At 35.7% G+C, this 21,781-nt stretch overlaps 1 protein-coding gene and 1 long non-coding RNA gene across 6 annotated transcripts in view; one reads left to right on the plus strand and one right to left on the minus strand.

Annotated features, from left to right (window-relative positions):
- KCNIP4 (potassium voltage-gated channel interacting protein 4) overlaps window positions 1-21,781 on the minus strand; it is a 1,220,167-nt gene that overhangs the window by 848,490 nt on the left and 349,896 nt on the right. The gene's annotated exons all lie outside the window — the stretch shown is intronic.
- Window positions 5,001-21,781, plus strand: part of LOC105374516 (uncharacterized) — a 31,627-nt gene continuing 14,846 nt past the window's right edge. The window contains exons 1-2 of the long non-coding RNA NR_134233.1: window positions 5,001-5,030; window positions 5,123-5,280. This is a non-coding gene — a long non-coding RNA (uncharacterized LOC105374516). The remainder of the gene's footprint in view (window positions 5,031-5,122; window positions 5,281-21,781) is intronic.

The raw sequence follows: 21,781 nt of genomic DNA on the forward strand, positions 1-21,781 counted from the left end.
TCATATATAGTATTAAACCTACCAAATCTATTTAGCTAAGAGAAATTTACTTGGGCTTGAATATGCTATCCTGGATGCTACACTGTGACTTCAGCCTAAGGAGTTTCCCCTGTCTGAAAAACCCTTGACTCTAACTGGACAGCAATAGTAATCTCTGTGCCAATTTCTAAAGAGGCTGCAGATTGCAAGACACCTCATGATCTGGCCTTGCACAACTCTTCTGCCCTCTATTACTTTTAGAACTGCAATTCCAGCTGCGCACTGTGGCTCACCCCTGTAATCCCAGCACTTTTGGAGGCTGAGGTGGGCAGACCACCTGAGGTCAGGTGTTCGAGACCAGCCTGGCCAATATAGCAAAACTCTCTCTCTACTAAAAGTACAAAAAATTAGGCAGGCATTGTGGCAGGCACCTGTAATCCCAGCTACTTGGGAGGCTGAGGTAGGAGAATCGCTTGAACCCAGGAGGCGGAGGTTACAGTGAGCCGAGATCGCGCCATTGCATTCCAGCCGGAATAACAAGAGCGAAACTCCATCTTAAAAACAAACAAACAAACAAACAAACAAAAAACTGCAATTCCATAAATGCAGTATATTCTTTGGTGCCTCTATGCCGTTGCACACTCTGCTTCCTCTGCTGCAGCTGGCATTCTTTGCCTTGACCACCTAGTTAGCTCCTTCCTCTATTTGGAAATTCTGTCCAGAAGATACCTTTCATTCCTGGTGTCATCATTTGGTATTTTCTCTTTTGCTTGTCTCTGCTTCTGTCATCATGTGCTACATCCTGCTCTCCATCATTTACTAGTATTCATTTTATGCCAGCCACTTTACTATTCTTACATATATTCTGGAGAATTGTTTTAGAAAACTCACAAGTTTAACATTGTTATCCACATTTTAGAAGCAAGAAAAACTAAACTATTTGTTCACTCTGGCTAATGTGTAGATTATTAAGAGTTCAGGCCGGGCGCGGTGGCTCACGCCTGTAATCCCAGCAGTTTGGGAGAACGAGGTGGGTGGATCACGAAGTCAGGCATTCAAGACCAGCCTTGCCAACATGGTGAAACCCTGTCTCTACTAAAGATACAAAAATTAGCCGGGCGTGGTAGCGGGCACCTGTAATCCCAGCTACTTAGGAGGCTGAGGCAGAGAATTGCCTGAACCCGGGAGGCGGACGTTGCAGTGAGCCGAGATTGCGCCACTGCACTCCAACCTGGGTGACAGAGCGAGACTCCGTCTCAAAAAAAAAAAAAAAAAAAAAAAAAAGAGTTCATGCTAGCTAAATGTGAATTTCTCCTGAATTCTACCTAAGGTCTGTCTGCTTCTAAAGCCCAGTTTTTATATGCTCAGGTAAATATTTGCTTGTTTCCAGACATATGACAAAACATGGGCATTAACAAAGGAGAAAAAGAAAAACGGAGCAGGAGAGAGAAAATAAGAGAGACTAAGTAAGAAATTTTAAATAATTTAAATATGGCATCCACCCTTCTACTCAGTGGATGAATGACCAAGACTGCATTAGAATAAAGCAAATCTGCTCATCCGTGCCATCTCAACCCCTGGGACCTCATAGAATGTGAGTTTCTTCCAGTTCGAGTATAATGCTAGTATTTAATCACATGTGTTTCTTCTACCTCTTGGCAACTGAGGGCAAGCAAATGACTTCGTCTTGTACTCAGTTAAAGAAACAGTGACCTTTTCTGAGCATGAAGGTCATACATCCCACACTGGACTAACTCAGGGGCAGTCCTTCTCTGTGATATTGCACCTTCTTAAAGTACATTTGTCTTGCATACGGATTTTAGAGACCAATTGTTTTGCATGCTGCAGGTGCTTAACAAATATCAGTAGAATGACAGACTCGGTCAATAAATAAACGCTACTACTCAACATTTGTTTCTGCTCATAGAAGCCTAAATTTTTTTCGTGGTTTGTTTCTTGTCTCCAACTTAAAGAACCTGACATTGGAGATTCTAAGAGATCAACTGATTTAAGACTGCTTCATATAAAGCATCTTTTATGCGGTGAAAACCAAGAAGCATAAAAACCCACTGCTCTGCTGTATGACAGTTCCCGTAGGTATAACATAAACCAAGGTCACATCAGCACTAAGCCAGAGCACAGTATTTTGCATTTTCTGATAATGCAGAAAAACACACTTAAAGCCACAGTACTGTTTGAATAGAACACAAGTACAAGATGAGCCTACGAGTTCATCCAAAATAAATAAAACTACTGTGGGGAAAAGTTGATTTATTAAATTTCTTTCATCCCAGAAGAATATATTAAGAATATTATTTATATCCTTTGCATATCTTCCTTCTAATTAGATTCCCTTGTGCCATGTTAAAAATTGATTTAATCTTATTTATTTATATCTTATTTGTAAACTGCTTGCTATGTAATCTATTAATTGCTGTTTCAATTAAATTCTATATATCCATTCATGCATTTGTTTATCCTCCCATGGATTGTTTCTCATCATAACTCTACATTCAGAATTCTGGAGGCATTTACCCACTGGGAGCAACTACCCTCAAACACCTTGCTTTTTATTGCTGAAAACCCTTGTACTCTACTGAGAATAAACTACTGATACTCTCCATGTTCTCAGAGTAAATGGATAATTCAGTACAGTTGAACACAATGTAATTCTAGGTTTTATTCTCCATAAATTGCCTTTTAGCATAGAGATAAAAACTTTATTTAACTAAATGTTTCCCTTTATCCTGACTCATGTAGCAGAACAAGAATATATAACACAGTAAAAATTCCTTTTGAAGAGTAGTTTTTTAGCTGATTTGGATGCTTTCCAATAAACTCAGTTTTTCACAGAACGCTTAGGTAAGTAGGGAGATTCATTGAACATTACAACGAGAATTATCAATGGACCTTAACTACAGCTAAATATATAATTTCCAGTTGTAATATAGGTGCCCAAATATGTGTTGAAATAAAACATATTTACTTGTGTAGTTAAGGGGTAATGTCTATATACCACTGAATTTTACTAGCCATATCTATGAATTTTATCTAGACTACTTAAACAGTATCAGGGTTCTCAGTGTATGCGTTCTCATGTTTGGAAAGAATAAGGAATGAATCTTTACTGAGCCATGACCTTGAGCCAGAGACTCTTTTAGGCCTTATCTATCTCCTTTGATACTAATACTATCACGTTTGAGTATTATTGACCTATGTTCCACATAAAGACACCTCATCTGGGAACATTTAAACACAAGGTTACAATGTTAATAGGTGACAGAAACTACATTTAGCTCTGGATATGTCTTGTTTTAAAGCCAGCCTTCTTTGTATACGAAAGTTTTGCTCAAGATATTTAAAAGAAAATTGTATTTTACAAAATGAAGAATCCCTTGATGGGATTGCTTAATATCAGCTAGATAAAATATTTTTAAAAGTATACTACCGAATATTGTTGCATCAAAACTGTATTTGCCCAAGGGTGGCATGGAGAAAACACTCTCCTTTATGTGATTATCCAAAAATTTTCATACAAAGTAAACAAATGTTTAAAATGATCATTCTCAGCATTCTCCCAAATATTTTTACATTTGCCATGCATACCATGCACACATTTAACGCACACCATTACATCAAAGATGGTAAATGCCCAATCTTACTTCCCTCTCCTCTAGAAAATCATCTAGGCATTTAGTCAACAAGTACCTTATACAGTGTCAAGGGGAGCCATTAAAAACATGGTATACAGAAATTGGATTTCCTTTCCTGAGTATTGCAACGAAGAATGGAAGAGAAAAGCCAGGCTGCTAGCATTTCTCCTTTTGTAAGGATATGTCAGCCTATTCAGAGAACAAATGACCCAAGTCAATGAGTGTGCTGAGAGCTTATCCAGGAGAGCTGACACTCAACTTAAGCTAAACTTATAAACTGTAGTGCATGTTCAATTTATTTTATCTTCTGCATTTCACTCTGTCACTCCACTTGATGACATTAAGTATAGCCTTGCAAAGGAAATAGTATCTATTTCTGAAAGGTTTAGGTGAAACATCATTATATTTCCATTTCTGAAAGGTTTAGGTGAAACATCATTATATTTCCAAACAAAATGAAAACAAGCACCTTGGTAGAGGAACGGCATAAAAACAAACAAGCAGGAGGTCTGTTATTTTCAAGGGAATTGACAACTTAAGAAATTCACAGTTCTACATTTAAAATGTCTTCCTTTTTAGGAAAATTCCATGGCCTCTTCTGAAACATCTGGAAAAGACTATAGACATGTTCTTTGGATGCAAGTTATGGATCCATACAAAACGTATTGATCCTTATATAATAAAACCCACAATATTCGGGGGGAGGTAAAGAAGATAGGAAGGTAACGGATGAGAGTTTGGCTACAGTCATGCAAATCTGGGTTTTAATTCTGACTTTGCCAGTCTCAAGTCTCTGTAGAATCGGGAAAAGTATTTTCAAAGCCTCTGCTCCTTCATCTGTAAAATGAAGATAATAAATAGTACCTATTGTATCTGCACAGTTATTAAAGGGCTTAAATCATAGAATATACCCAAAATGAAGTTTTGCATAATGCATTCTCAAAGACATTGTTCAGTACATTTTGACTAGCATTATTATTTATATTATCACAGCTTGGTTCAGTCCCTCATCACTTCTCACTTGAAGAACTGCCTCCTTCAGTCAGTTCATACTAAACATTTGGTCAAACTCATGTGATCCTGTCATTGTCTTAATTATTAACCTCTTACAAATACCCCCTATTTACACAGAATGTTTTTCAAACTCCAGGTCATGATCCATTAATGGGTCATGAACCCAATTTAATGATGAGTCGAGACCAAACTTAAAAGAAGAAAGAATAAAATGGCATGACTACATAGGGCATAGAAAGATAGAATAGACTACATAGGGCATAGAAGAATAGAATAGAATAGAATAGAATGGAATGGAATGGAATGGAATGGAATGGAATGGAATGGAATGGAATGGAATGGAATGGGATGGGATATTGTCAGAGAATATGACACATAGCAAAGGTAAAACATATTTTTGAAATCATTTATTACAATTAGTATGTACATGTGTGTGTGCTGTACTATAATGTAAAATATATGTTCTTACTTACTAGGTAATATTCAAAGTCATCTGACAAGCATTGGGCAGGATGATGTCCAACATTAATGCTCTGCTACTCATCTAGCCACTGACCCTGGTCACTCAATATTCAAGACTTAATGAATGGAAAGTGGAAGATGCATTTTGCCTTCCTTTTGCTTTTGAGGTGAGGTAAGTGGTTTAGTATGATGGAAAGTGGAGTACAATAGGACTTTGATTTTATGAGTTGGTAATTTTTTTAACCTAATTTTCTGATTCAATAATAGAAATAAATATACTTTAGACTTTAAATGCTAATAATACCCCATCATTGCCCTTCCTATTCTATCTTCAGAAAAAGTGAATATAATCATTACTGAAAGTATTATGCACAAAAAATAGGATCAGAAATACAAGTTTAAAAATTTCTGTGACCTGAGATTTTTGTGTACATATTAGAATAGTATTTTTCCATTTATTGAGTTAAAATGTTTCTTTATGCAAATACCTTTTCAAACAAAGACATTTCCAACACAAATCCATGAATCCAACTTATAAATAAACTATGAACACTGGACACAATGCATGCAAACAGGACATCTGGAATGAAAATGCACCCTCCTGAGATAACTAGGAAGTCTCCATTTTACATTTAGCTAGTCACTCAAGCATGAAGTAGTCTTTTGGGAAGAATGAGAAGAAAGAGGATCAAATATGTTAAAACTAGTGTGTGCACCCATCCTAGATCATAGCATTTTTAGTTTCAAAGATTCTCATTGCCTTTCTCACACTAGCAATGCTCATAAATCGGGCCTTTAACTAAAAATCCACAACTGCCCTAATTCTAAGTGGTAAGAGAGAACTCAAATGCAAAATCAGACTCATGTCCATGCTTATAATGTTTCCATTTCCCCTTTGAAGAAAACCGCCCTCAGTAAAACCAAAAGTGAATTTTAGTGCATATCCATCATCTTAAAAAAATGGATTTTACAAATTAAGCATTATGAACAATTTGTAAGTGCATTCTAATACTGTACACAGAGTTGAGAGCCAAGGATTTTAGCATCTGATAAATCTAAAGTTAAATATCTGAGTTCAAGGCCAACTCAACTATTTTCTAGCTTTGTGGATTTAGGAAGTTATTTAGGCTTGCTGTGCTTCAGGATCCTCATGGGCAAAATTAAGATTAAAATATCTACTTTATAAGGTAGAAGTGATACTTAAATAAGGCAATATATATATGAAACAGTTACTCCAGGATCTGACATACAATAAGTGCTCAATAAATGGTAGCTATTAAGGTTGAGAATAGTCATAAAGAAGTCCTAGGAACTAGCTAAATAGTAAAATACCAGGATTATATACTCTGCCTTTCACAAAATAAGTGCTATTAGGGAAAATGTTTTAACATCAGCATTTAAAACTATAATATTTTAATGCAATTCCAATATAAATTTATGTTTAAAGGGTAAATTTTCATGGTTGAAATACCGAACAAAGCCCATTATAAAAATGTTTTATTTCACCCATTTCTTCTGAGTTCCAAGCAGGGAAGATAAAGAAAGAAACCAAATGAGTAGATGATTTTACATGATAAACTCGAGAAAAATCAAGATGGTGCTTCAGTGACACACAGAAGTTTCTTACACATAGTGATAGTCAAAACTAGTTTACTGAATTAGAACATCATGTAAATATTTCATTATAAGATTTTTTGTGTGTGGTAAAATTTCTGTTCTTTTCTTGCATATGTTATTTATGAACATAAAACATGCCTCACTCATCCTCATGAGTCTCCACAATGCCTGGCAGATAGCAGGCACTCAATGAACTTAATTTGAATAATAACATAAGATTTATATTACAAGTAAACAAGGATTTACTGCTCAGCAATCTGCATAGCCCATGGTTAGCTACAACCAAACCTTTGAGGTAGCCTGCCTTTACATGAGCAGTTGGAAAAATCATTACCCTCATTTTAATTTTCCTTCTCCCATTAACGCTTATACTTCAGTGAGAATAAAGTTAAATGAGTGTCTTTTTCTTCCTAGGTTGCTTACATTTTTAAACATAAATCTCAGACCTAAAAGTTTTGTTTCCCTTTTGAAAACAAAATTAATTTAGAAAAATGTAATCAGGTTTTAATTTTTTAATTCATAAAGGGCAACTAATTTCTCAACCTAAATTATAGTACAAATTTACCAAAATTATTTTAGTCATAAAGAATTTGCATACCATAACAGAATCATTCTTCGAAAACTTAAAGCCAAATCTAATACACACACATTAAGATTTTAGGAAACTGACAAGCCAGAATATAATTAAGTGAAAATTTAGAGAGTATAGAGAGCAAATTGGCCAAATTAATTTAAAATAGGAAATTAATTGAGCACCTACAATTATTACTAATCCTCAAAATAACCAATTAGCTGGCATTATTCCCCCTTTAGAGAGAGCAAGGCTCAGACTCAGAGACATGTGGCTCAAGACCATGCAACCAGTGAGGGAAAATTCTAAATTCAATCCTATGTCTGTCAACCTTCAAAGCTTGATTTCTTTCCACTACACTTTAGTGCTGGAATAAAAACTTGGAAGGAACACACTCACACAAAGAAAGATTGATAGTGATGAGAGGGAGAAAAGTGCGAATTTGAAGGAAGATGAAGTAACTTCTTGAAAACGTTTGAGCTTTGTAGAGGAGCAATATACGTAATCCTCTCCAAGCAAGTGTAACCATTTCTTATGAATGGCTGAGTTTTATTTTATTTCATTTTTGTAGGAAAAAACTGAGGTGGAGAAAGCAAGTGGCCCAAGGCAAAAATAGCAGTTGAACAAAAAGCTTAACATAGTGAATACTTACACTTAGCACAGGATTTGCCAAATATAGTTGTTTCATAAACATTTTTGGAACATATAACAGTAATCATTAATAAGTATAGAATGTTCAGTGACCCCAGTGCTGGGGTAAGCATTTGGCATGTAACTGACATTTCTCATGACAGTGCTATGAGGTGGGTGTTGTTCTCATCTCCATCCTCTGCATGAGGATACTGACATTCAGAGAGCTTATGCTGCATGCCCACTTCCCAAGTCGGTAGAGACCTGGCCTGGTCCAGGAACTCTGCTTCAGATCCCCAGATCCTACTTACTATGCTTCACTGAATGAATAGAATAATCAGGACATTCTTATCTCAATCCAATTACTTATAAATCAAATTTTTGCTGCAAAGTTTATCATCAAGACTTAAATTACTTTTATAAAATAAAATAAATACTACTTACACAACTGAAATTAAGTGAAAACAAAGGAAAGAAATTGCCATATATTTCACTGTGTCATGAGAATGAGAGTCATTGATCTTGGCAGATCTGAAGCATCCTCTCTGCTCTTTAAATGCCAAACTGATAGATTGTCAGGACAAGTGAAAAATATGCCTGAAAACTCATCAATACCCATATATTACAGGAAGCATTGCCCGCAAAAACAATTATGCTTGAATATGTGATAGAAGTCTTAGTGTATAAAATCCATTATGGCAGAAATTAGAAATGAGAGGAAATTCCAAGAAGCTTAATTTATTGATTATTATTTTCATGAAGTGAGGGTGTTGGAAGGAAAACAAAACCTTGAGATAATGGAACAGAGAAGTATAATTAAGAAATATGTATGATGTTTATCAGTTTTAAAGACTACAATGGATCATGATTATAATTAAGTTGAACAACTACCAAAGAATACTCATTGATAAAATTAATACTTGCCTAAAAAGAGAGTCTCTATCCTTTGGTGAAGAAGAGAAACTGATTTTTATGAACAATAATGATACTGTTTAAGGATAATGCATATGTGTGACACTATACTAAGCACTCACTCACACTGTGTGATTTAATTTTCTCAGCAATTAATTAAGAACCAGCAATGAGTTAAGAACTCCATTACATAAATGTTGGGACAAAAAAGGCAAAATAAAAAACTTGACCTATTCTAGTATCATCCTGTAGTTTTCATTTATAGCACATTTCCAATTGTTAATTATACACTTAATTATATATTTATTTAAGTGTGTATTCATTTTTAAATTATATGTTCCATAAGAAGAGGGATCGTAGATTTAATTTATCTCTACATATCCAGAGTCTGGCTCATTGTAGGTGCTCAGAATATATGTGTTGAATAAACTTATGAATAAAAGAGATGATGTCAGAGTTCCAGCATCTAAATGCAAAGACATTCCATACACTTGCCTCCCCCAGTGTCTCCCTTTGGGTGAATGTGGAGGGGATGGGTGTTAGGCGTGTGGGAGCAGCAGTGAGATCCCAGAACAGTTAAGGGGAGATTTTTTTAAAAATCAAAGGAAGGTGTGACAGGAACTGAATTAAAAGGTTCCAAAAAGAAAAGCTCCAAGATTTAAGATCTTCCCTTTGATACTAATCAATTTATTGAAGACTCTTGACAAAGAACAAGAGAAAGAGCAAACAAAACTGATAGGACGGAGCCTGATGCATTAGTCACTTGTCAAAATTTGTTGGTAACTGAAGAGAAAGTATGTTTAGCTTCCAAGTCCATTTATAAAAATATGGTTCTCCTGATACTAAAATAACCCCTGGATTCTTCCATAGTAAGGGAAAGGAAAAAATGTAATCATCACTTATGTGTGTGCTATTCTGAACTCAGGCTATTTTTTAATTGGAATAAGGTATCAAGTCTCAGCCTTATCATTTTAAAGTAGTAGTTCCCACAAGGTATGATTAGGACCATTATTTATAACAAAAAGCAAAAGCTGTAGTCTTATTCTCGCTAGCCAGGAGTGAAATGGTGTTCACTTATCAACAAAACTATCTTTGTTCTCAAGAAGGTTGAAGTTATTACCCACCAAGGACTGCTTTGCATCTACTTTGAGGAATTAAGACATCAACACCAACTAGAGATGGCACACCATTGTTGTTTGTGTATATGCTATGTAGATGGTTAGATTTTACATCAAGCCCTGGATTTATTATCTGAGGGCAGATGTGTTTAAAATCCCGCACTATTGGGTATAAGTAACTTTGTGGATGCCACACAGCCACTCTAGCTATCCATTTTCTCATGTCAGAGACAGAATGATAATTCCTGACCTATCTCCTGAAGCTACTGGAAAAATCACAAATGAGGTAAGGGATATAAAAACACCACATAAACCATAAAGTGCACTTTTCATTTTAACATAACCCATCACTCTTTCTTTACATCACTCCATTTAATTTCTGCATTCAGGTGTCAATTTTCAAAATAGAAAGACAGTCTTATCTTCAGTTGTGTTGGCAGATCCAGCTGAGTAAATGAAGAGTTAGAGCTTGGGAAATGTGCTCTTCCCTGCAAACAACAACAACAACAACAACAAAAACCACAACAGTAATAATGGCTAACATGTATTAAGTGCTTATTCTATCCCAGACGATTTTCTAACTCACTGCAGCTGACCTGCAGTAGGACAACTCCATTCTGATATTGGGTCAGGTCATGGGTGAACTAGCATAGGAATGACCAAGAGAACCATTGTGTTTGCCATGTTCATAGTATAAGAAACTGGTTCTTCAGCCTTCACTAGTTGGAGAAAGGGTACAGAAATATTGTCAGAGTGGGAGGAAATCTTAGCAAACAGTTAATACACATCTTGCCCAAAGAGATGCATATGAATACATATAGCCCTGTTAAATGCTTACATAACCAATGTTTATTTGAGCACCTCCATGTATAAAGAACTTAATACTTCATGAATCAGTTGCATTCCATTTTTGTATGTTTAACTAATAAAATGTTCCCTTTCTTTGGTATTGTCTTAAAATCTAGCTTCCTGTTGCTTCCATCTATTGATTTTAGTTATCCCCTTTGAAGTCAAATAGTAAAACTAAAATAATTATTCCATGTGAGAGCCCTTAAATATTTAAAGACATATGTCATATCTTGGCTAAGAGTTATTTCCTCATTAAAACAAAATAACTACCAACATTATTTTTCTTTTAAGATATAAAATAAAATAAATCTATGTAGATAGTGGTCAGATTCTGCCAATGAAATCATAATGATCTACTTTTCATGTATTTAACTTTGAGAAAACCTGGCTATGGGTGCTAGGCAATTACCAAATCAAAGGTTGTTATGGTGAGGAAAGTCTGAATAAATGTTTAAATCCCAATAACTTATCCCTGATCTTCCCTCCTCCCCTCAAGATGGCAACCTTAAACCAAAGGAGAAAATGCAAAGATTTTGATGCTAATTAGGTATGTGAGGTTTACCTCCTCCTTCTCCGATGGTTTGTAAGGCCATTCCAGATACATCAGGATTGTAACCCTAAGTGTCCCACGCCCTACATCAGGAAATGAATTACCTATATTTCAGATACATATGCAGGATACTTCTACTTTCTATATCTTTACTTATAGGGAGCTGTGATCCCAAACCCTACTAAAGGCATCCCAGACCACAGCAGAGGTACTCTAAAAAAATTAGCTGGTAATGGAAGGAACAATAACAATACATTATACCCTAACTGTAATTGAAATCTACTCTGTCTCTAGAGAATATTGTCAGATACCTAGCCAAGAATGGGATTTTATTTTCTAATTGTGTAAATGTTCCTATTTTTTTTGTATATCATAGTATTTGTAATTAGTAATAAGTCACTACGACATAAGGATTCTGCAACCATCACTTGGATTATTCCTCAATATTTAAATTCAGAGACACAGCAGGCCTGGTAGAACTAATCACCTTTTCATCCATTCAGAAGCAGATGAGTATCTCCTACTCTGAGCCTGGTGCCATGGTGAGCACTGGGAATAGAGATAAAAGAAAGTCAAATCATATGGAAATGGAAATAATGCAATAGTGAGAGACGAAAAGAAGAAACCAGATTACTATAAAATAGTCTAAGTAATCAGTTAGGATATCCTGGACTCAGTGCTGTAGGGGCACAAAAATGGAGGTGTGTATATATATATATATATATATATATATATATATATATATATATATGTGTACATATATAAGTACACATGTATCTATACAGATACATATATACATATATGTATCTATACAGATACATATATGTATAGATACATATATATGTGTATAGATACATATATACATGTACATATACACGTGTATATATATACATGTGTATGTATATATGTACATATATATATACATGTTCAGGGTCGGAGAAAAGGATAGTAAGGCAAGGGTTCTAGAGAAGGTAATAGCTAAGCTGAGCCTTAAAGGGCAAAAAAAGCATATGAGGCATAGTCTAGACCACAATCTAACTGGGGAAGCAAGAAATAAAATATTAATGCAAAAGGGTTGAATTGGATAAGCAGACTAAATACTGTAAGCAAGGAAAATAAGAAACAAGAAGCTACATTTAAGAAGCAGCTGCTTCTCTGTATTTCGAACTATGTATGAGGTTTAAATAGTCAAAGGACAGAAGGCAAATTATGCTTCCTTTAATTCTCTCTTATAGTCCCCAATTTTATTCCTTCATGACACTCTTCACAAGTGAGTAATAACTTATTAAAAACTGTCCCCCCTTCTAAGCTGTAAATTACAGAGGATAGGGACCAAGTATGTTTTTTTCTCCATTGCATTGCTGCCATTAATTGAGTAGTTCTCACCACCAAGCACCTGTTTAGTTAATATTTGTTAAATAGTTGAAGAATTAGATTAATGAATTGAATTTCATAAGATGCTAGAAAAGTAAGATGTTTTATAAGATATTCATGGTTTGGTTTAGTGATGATGCCATGTAAATTAAAAATAAAATTTGGAAGGAGCAACTAGAATTAAGGAAGGGCAAATCAGAGGGTAGGAAAAGATTACTATTAGCATTTCCAGCAAAATTTAGAGCTTGTATTGTCTTGATGTTTTAGTATAAAAGTGGTATTATGAAAAAAGTATATTAAAGGATTAACTGGGTTCTGTGAGCCAAAAAAACTAGAGGAGGAGTGAATAGCTAGGTGAATAGCTAGGCAGCTGGTGTCTCACTCATTCTGGTTGGAAAGGGATGAAACCTATTCTAAAGTGTTTTCAGTAGGTGTGGGAAGGGAAGAAAAGAATAGCTATCAAGGAATCAATTGTTTGTGAATAGGATGGCATAGACCTTATTTGGCAAGAAAGAACAGCTACATAATTTGCTGTGTCTGGGGAAAAATAGATTGCAGGGCCCCTTGTTTAAAGAGTATGAATAATCTCAAGACTGTGACACAAGAGGCTAAAATAAGGGTGGGGTCCTTCTAAGTATGTGGCCCTTTGCAACCAGACAGGTTGTATATCCATGAAGCTGGCCGGTTGTCAGGAATCTCATATAAAGAAAGGAGGAAAGAAGAAAGCAAAGAAAGGATGAATGAAGGGAGGAAGAAAAAATAAAAGGTTTAGGGATGTTTATTTCAGCATATACTGAAGTTGTGTGACATAGATATACATATATTAAAAATAACCTTTAATTGTATGGTGTATCATATCTCCTAAGTTTAATATGTGATCCCAATGGGTCATTACTATCTTCAATGCACAGTACATGTTATTAGTTTATTGTTTTGTAGAGAAGGGAACTAGACAACATGTTTGGACCAGTGTATCAGTAAGGCTATGCTTATAGACAAAACTGATCCTCTCTCTCTCTTAAAATTAGGTCTTATAATTTTAAGCTACATAATAGAAACAATGTCCAAGCAAGGCAGGTAAGTATCCCATTAATCTGCTGAATATTTCTCAGTGCAGAACCACTACGTCTATGTATTAATACTTAGAAATGGGTAAAACACACAAGAACACTATACCTTGTCAAGAGGAGGAGACTAATTCAGGTATTTAGATGTTTGAAAAATGTCTTATATAAAGAAAAGCTAAAAAAAATTGACAATATTTAACAAAGAAAAAGGAAGGAAATATGGGACAAATAGTGCCTGCATTTATTGAAGGATTACTCAGAGAATCTAAAATCATTTGAGCTACCCTAATAGGTGTCATAAAAAACAAGGAGGAACGTTATAGGAATGAACATTTTACTTCTGTATTAGGAAAACCTTCTGCCAGTATGAGGTCAAAAAAGAAAATGGCCTATTCACAACAATTTTATTTTTACCTGTGTAAAGAAAAATTGTGAAATATTTTGAAATAGACCAAAAGAAAACACAAAAACAAAACAAAACAAAACAAAAGCCACTGGCTATCCTGTGTGATGCAGCCTTTTGGGTATCTCAAGCTTTTATTGTCTTTGAGATATTTTGTAACTACGTAAATTAAAAAAACTGAAAATAATGCAAATCACTTTTGTCTATTGCAGTGCAAATTTGTGGTGTCTAAATTATGATTGCCCTATAACTCCTTTTGGATGTACGTGTAAATTCTTTTTAGCATTCTAGATTTGCCTAGAATGTGTGGTTCTTTGAGAGTCACTTTGAATCAATTATAATATCTTACTGGTGACTTCAGTAATTCTGGAGTTAAATAAAATTTTTGAGATGTGCATTTGTTCTATATTTGTATGAGAGTCTTGATTTTACCTTTAAAAACCTTTATCTTTTAATACTTGCAAGTGTGCAATTAAAGCAAGTTATTTTAACATCTATCAGAAACATTCTGAAAGAGATTCCTGAATTTGTAGCAGACTGCACTAAAATATTCTCAAAGGCACCTTTTAACTCTGATAATGTCCAATATATGAAGAAAAGGAATTAACAGAAAGAATAAATTGTTCTAATTGAATGACTTGGCGAAGGGAGGCACCATTGAAAGCCACAAATACAGTTCTACGGTGCTGCATTGGAAGTTGTCTGTAAGTGAATTCAGACTTACTGAGACCAAAGTGATAGAGGGATAGTCATGGGAAAATATACTGGAGTAACAGAATTCAGGCTGAATTCTGGATGACAAAATCAGGGATCTGACTTAGAAGTCATTGACAGAGAGAAGCATTGAAATTATCACTATGACAATTATGCCAAGAAAAAGGAAGGGAAAAATCAGCAAAGAGATAACATCTGTTTTTTTGTGAAATCCTCAGAATGTGGCTATTGTTGGAGAAGAGAAGAGTATTTATTCTTTGACACAAGTTTCCATCTTGGTAACTATGGATCATGGATGTCTCATTTTTTTCTCTGTAACAATGCAAGAGAACAAACAACATATATAAGATATCTCGTTTGGTTATTTTAAGTATTCCATCATAGAAAGTATTGACTTACCTTTTAATTTCTCATTTTATTCTCACAAGTTTTCTTAGACAAAACAGAAATTATCATTGATTGGTTGGAGTTTTAAAAGACCTGGATAATTTTGTTAAGGTTGATCATCACTATTATGCACAAATAATTTAAACAGGTACTTTGGCTTCTTGAGAATGGAGCTCTCAGTAATTTTGTTCATAGTTGTTTGTATTCCAAGAACTCCTGAATCCAACCCCATGATTGAATTCAACATCATTGTAAGGCACGTGCTTATAAGAAAGCTGCATATTTAATCTTCTATTTCTTTGAAAGAGGTGAAAGTATAATTCTAGCAAGACAAATATGCAGGCCTAATTGATAATTTTTATTTCTATATAGAGATTCAACAAGAGCTAAGGTGTCATAGAGGAAAGTCACTGAAAGAGCTGACTAGCACATAAAATATTTTTTTTGGTGTTTGAAGCGAGAAAGGAAGAAACAACAATCTATGATTAGAGTGCCCCTTAGTTTCATTTCAAAGAGCATGAGGCTCTCATGGCTGTATGAGGCCTCCACTAAAATAAGATGAATGGGAAGGAAAAACTTATGAGTTTATTGAAATTGCAATATTACAATTTGCCAAGAGTTCTGATCTATGATGTCCAGTGGTTTTCCAACTCCTTGGACTCCTTCTAAAATGCTGCATTGCATATATTCATTCTGCAATTTAAATAATGTGTGTGTGTGTGTTTGTGTGTGTGTGTGTGTGTGTGTGTGTTTCTTAACAGAGTGAAAAAAAAAAGTCCTGCTACTCCATAGATACCAGGGCAAGGAGCAGAGTGTTTGTGTACACACATTGGACTGTAAAAATCAAGAATAAAATTCTTAACTTATGCTGCCACTTCTGGGCTGAATGCCCATTGCTGGTTAAATTTACCCTAAAATTGCAGGAATTAAAAATGTGATCCGTTTATTATCTCTGAAAGAGCAAAGACAGAGTGGGAACCTCCGAGTGGTTTTGTGGTCGGAGTGCTCTGCTCTTCTGCTGACAGCCTGTCAGTGCCCTGTTCCTTTCTCATCCTTAATTAGAATTCTCGGATTCTGAGGTTGCCGTCTGTACCACATTTGCCACTGTGGTCCCCGGACCTGGCACAAACACGGCTCACCTCGTCCTCATAAAATGACTCATTACCTTCTCCAGCTGTTATCTATTAGCACTGCAGATTTTGCACCAATTTCCATGCCAAGTCATCTCTCCCACCCTCCTTATTGCCCCACAACCTACTGGAGCCAGCTGGTGAGAATTCCCACACCTTGTTTAAGAGGACATTTTCTTGACACATCAAGACAGATGCATGCCCTTAAGTGCACCTATACCAAGACCTGAAACAGGATAATTTGTCCAGTTCTCAGTCACAGATATTTTGAAAAATCTAGTTCCATAGCAGCATTAATGCCATGTCAACATTTGAGACAAATAGTGCAAGAATTGTCTGTTACTGAGTGAGCCATTACTCAGGCTGTTCTCATCTGAAGAATCTTTGCATTTAGTGTGTTCAAGCTAAAACAGGAATCATTTGTGTTCAAAATTACTTCTGAACACCTACCAGCCAACATAATTTGCTTACTTAGTATACCTTGGGGCCTGCATGTATGTAGGAAATGGAGCTAGGAAATGAGACTTGTGAACAAGCTGAAAGGGAAAAAAAACAGGTTACCTTGAAAGATACAATACCAAATTTCTTGTAATTTAAAATAACTCCTCAACAGCAACAATGTAAAGAAAGACAGTTGCTGTGTTCTGTGAAGGAAGCTGTGCTCTCAGATTTATATGTTCCAACTCATGGCATCCTGAGTTACACCATATGTTAGGATATTATTATAGAGTTTAGAGATATAGAAATAAACAATTCAATATTTTTGAAATGAGCTATTGGCCAAAAGTACAAAATCTTTTAATGAACAACAACAAAAGCAACCAACGACAAATAAGGGAGAATAGCATAATAGTTATGACCAAAGGTTTTGGGCTGGAAAAATACATCTGCTTAATTTCATAACACTTTTGAGCAATTCTTAACTTTTATGAGAACAATAATAATATGCAGGGCTGGTGGGTAGATGATATAAGATGTAAAATTCTCAGGGCAATACTTGGCTCTATAGTAAGTCTTTGGTAAATAGAAACCAGCATTAGAAATTATAATGGGGAGGAGGGATGAAGGTAGGAGGGAAGAGAGAGTAAAACATAGTCAATAATCAATCAATCAGAACAGAGCAGAATGGCTTAATTTGATCTCAGGAAGAAAAATGCTGCTCAGAGATAAAGATAATTTAAAAATTACATGCAACAAAAAATTGATGGAAGCGTCTACATGAAAATTTAAAACTTCTGCACATAAGAACAAACCACATTTCTTAATCCATGTGTTAAATGTGGCACAATGGAAGTATACTGTCTCAGGGTTTCCTTCAATTTGGAATATTAATATTTAGAATCAACATTTGGCACATTCCATTTGGAATATTATGTTGGTGCAAAAGTAACTGTGGTTTTGGTCATGAAAAGTAATGGCAAAAACCACAATTACTTTTTTTAAAAAAATTTATTATACTTTTTATACTTTAAGTTCTGGGATACGTGTGCAGAATGTGCAGGTTTGTTACATAGGTATACATGTGCCATGGTGATTTACTGCACCCATCAACCTGTCATCTAGGTTTTAAGTCCCACATACATTAGCTATTTGTCCTAATGCTATCCCTACCCTTGCACCCCAACCCTCTGACAGGCCCCAGTGTGTGATGTTCCCCTCCCTGTGTCCATGTGTTCTCACTGTTCAACTCCCACTAATGAGTGAGAACATGAGATGTTTGGTTTTCTGTTCCTGTGATAGTTTGCTGAGAATGATGGTTTCCAGCTCCGTCCATGTCCCTGCACAGGACATGAACTCATTCTTTTTTATGGCTAAATAGTATTCCACGGTATATATGTGCCACATTTTCTTTATCCAGTCTATCATTGATGGGCATTTGGGTGGGTTCCAAGTCTTTGCTACTATGAATAGTGCTACAGTAAACATGAGTATGCATGTGTCTTTATAGTAGAATGATTTATAATCCTTTGGGTATACACCCAGTAATGGGATTGCTGGGTCAAATAGTATTTCTGGTTCCAGATCCTTGAGGAATGCCACACTGTCTTCCACAACGCTTGAACTAATTTACACTCCTACCAACAGTGTAAGAGCATTCCTATTTCTCCTCTTCTTCTCCAGCATCCAGTTTCCTGACTTTTTAATGACAGCCCTTCTAATTGGCATGATACGGTATCTCACTATAGTTTATGCAAGCAATAAACATATGAAAAAAAAGCTCATCATCACTGGTCATTAGAGAATTGCAATTACTTTTGCACAAACCTAAATAGTACCATCTAGTCCCTGAAAAAATATTTATTGACAATCTACCGTGTGCTGACTTCTCTGTTCAGCCTCAATCCTATCCTAGGTAGTGGAAAACTGAGAATCCCCAGGAGCATGTGAGAAATTAAACAGAGCAGCTTCAGGGGCCACTTGAAATCTCCTGCTTTCCAGAGCAACTTGTGTTGAAGCACAGAGAAAGTGTTGAGGATTGTTACTTCAATAAATCCCCAAATTTGCATTAGAAGACACTTAGTTTGTCCTTAGCGCAACCAACGCCTTGTATCATGGCCCAACTCTCTTAATTGTTCAGCTTTCATTCTCTGTTTCTTGTTTAACACAATGGTCTGTATCTCATAGAATTCCAAACAGACATAGGCTACTTTTGTCTTAAGGCAAATTGGCTTATAATTATACTAATTCAACTAATATTTATATTTTACCATCTACAATAAAAATTTTCAACTGTTTGGATGAATTCTAATGGGCAAATATTTCAGTACACCATAATTGGGCTTCAAAGGCAATTTTTATTAATGCTTCTTGTAACATACGAATAAACACATTTATATATATGTTACAAGAAGTCTATTGACTCTGTAAATGGTAAAATCTGTTAACACTGCATTTTTATTTCTGCTGTTGCTTTTAGGAGTTGATCTCCATAACCTGGAATAAAGATATTGTCTTTCTTAACTTGGCATGTTGCTAAAGTCATAGTCAAATCAAATTGTGTGTGCACTGTTTTGAAACCCCCCTCCCTATCTCCATCTACCTTTCCTGGAGAGGAAAAAATAAAAACAAAAAAGAACAAAAACAAAGCTTGCCTCCACCTGGCTTTGAGCCAGGGAAGAAGAAGAAAGAAGCTTTTGTTATTGATGCTATTTATAACCCTGAATTACTCCGTTAGAATAATGGGGCCTGAGCAGGGGAAGGTCTTTTGTTTGCTTAGTACAAATGCGTCTTCCCCCTCAGTAAAACCTTACTTAGGATCATACTAAACAGTCACTGCAGGTACCAGGTGTGGAGCTAAAAGCGAGGAAAGGACCAAGATATTTGTAAAGAAGAAATGGAGAGGAACTGAGTTCCAGGCAGAAGATTTGGAAGCGGAAACCATCCTCCGAGGAGATGGAGAGCCAGTGGAGGATGGGTTACTTTCTATCTGAAGCCTGTGGAGATTGAGAAGAAAATAAGTGTTTCAAGGGGTTTTGTCAAGTGAAACATCATGGGGGTGGTGGTGGTGAATGTGAAGTCGTCCCACCTACAATACCTTTGATAAAATATTGTTCATTGATATGGTTTGGCTGTGTCCCCACTCAAATCTCATCTTGAATTGTAGCTCCCATAATTCTCACATGTTGTGGGAGGGACCTGGTGGGAGATAATTGCATCATGGGGGTCGTTTCCCCCATACTGTTTTTGTGGTAGTGAATAAGTCTCAGAAGACCTGATGGTTTTATAAGGGGAAACCACTTTCACTTGGTTCTCTTTTCTCTCTTGTCTGCCGCGATGTAAGACGTGCTTTTCACCTTCGGCCATGATCATGAGGCCTCCCCAGACACATGCAACTATAAGTCTATTAAATCTCTTTTTCTTTATAAATTATCCAGTCTCGGGTATGTCTTTATCAGCAGTGTGAAAATGGACTAATACACCCATGAATATCTTCACACAATGTTCTAGAAAGAAGTTTCTTCCTGTTTCAAAATTAGCATAGGATGAAAGCCAGGCTTGTCTCAGAAAGCTGAGGGGAGGGCCACATCACCAAATTCTGCCATCAAAGCCACTTTCCTTCAGTTCATTGGCTTTCCCAAGGTATGAAAGAAAAGTGTTTTCTTTGATTGGTCCTTTTATTATCTACAGCTCCCTTGGAGCCTAGGTCTACTGTATTCATTCAAAAAGAGTTGGCAGATTGGGGATGACCCAAAATTACAGGATTTAGGACATTTTCTTAAAATATACTACCATGCTGTTTTTACTGCTTTAACAGCAAAGCATCCAGACAATGCAGGTTTTTAGGATATTGTGTTTTTCCAGAGAAATCAAATGAATTAGGTCCCCAGTGGTAAATATAAAAAGAAAAAGAGGACTTGTTCGATTTATAGCAAAACATATATTTAGCTATAAAGGAGAGAAAGAAAAAGACAACAGAAGAGAAAAGAAAAAATGCATTTTAAGAGAGTAATAAATAATTATGAACTGTTGATTCAGTTGGGAGGGTAAATTATTTCGGTACGTCTGAAAAATTCAGAAAGCTGTAAAATCACTAGTCAGCATGCCACTGACTATTCTGGATTAAAGCAGCACCGGTTACCATTAAATGAAAGGAGAGAACACGGAAGAATGTAATACTGTGTTTTATGCATAAACAGTGTTGCAAGTACTTACTACATGCAACAATTTTGTAAGATTGATTTTATACCCATTTTAGCATTGGGGATAATTGAGTTTCAAAAAGGTTAATCAGCTAGACCAGCTTGTATAGAGAACATGCATTTTAAGTTAACTGAAGAATAGTTGAACTCTTAGTCTTTGCCAGGCTGTATACAAGATCAAGGTCAGAAAACTTTGTAAAGCATCAGATAGTACATATTTTAGGCTTTGCAAGTCATACAGTCTCTGATGCAATACTCAACCCTGCAGTTGTAGTACAAAACTAGCTATAGGAGATATGTAAAAAATGAGAGTGGTTGTGTGCCAATAAAACTTTATTTACAAAACCAGGCAGGCAGCAGACTGGATTTGGCCTGGGGTTTATCAACTCCTATGATTGATGATGAGGGTATGATGGTGAGAAAGTCAACTCATTAATCCCTCACAGAGCCTCTCTAATTCTAAAGACACTATTTCACCGTTTTCTTGCATCTGCTTTATTTAGACAGTGCTTCCCCCCAAAAAGATCTGAGATTTTTAAGCTAAAAATGTTTAACTAAGAAAAGTAAATATTTGCAAGATCTACACATGAGCACCCTGGTTCTTTTGCATTCATGCACCAGTGGGGTCTCCCAACTCATCCAATTTACGAATTTTCAGTTTGTCTCCATGTCTTTCCACAGTTTCCAATTCCAAGTGCAAATATCCTCCTA

Source organism: Homo sapiens, chromosome 4, assembly GCF_000001405.40.
Source record: "Homo sapiens chromosome 4, GRCh38.p14 Primary Assembly".
Lineage (NCBI taxonomy): Eukaryota > Metazoa > Chordata > Mammalia > Primates > Hominidae > Homo > Homo sapiens.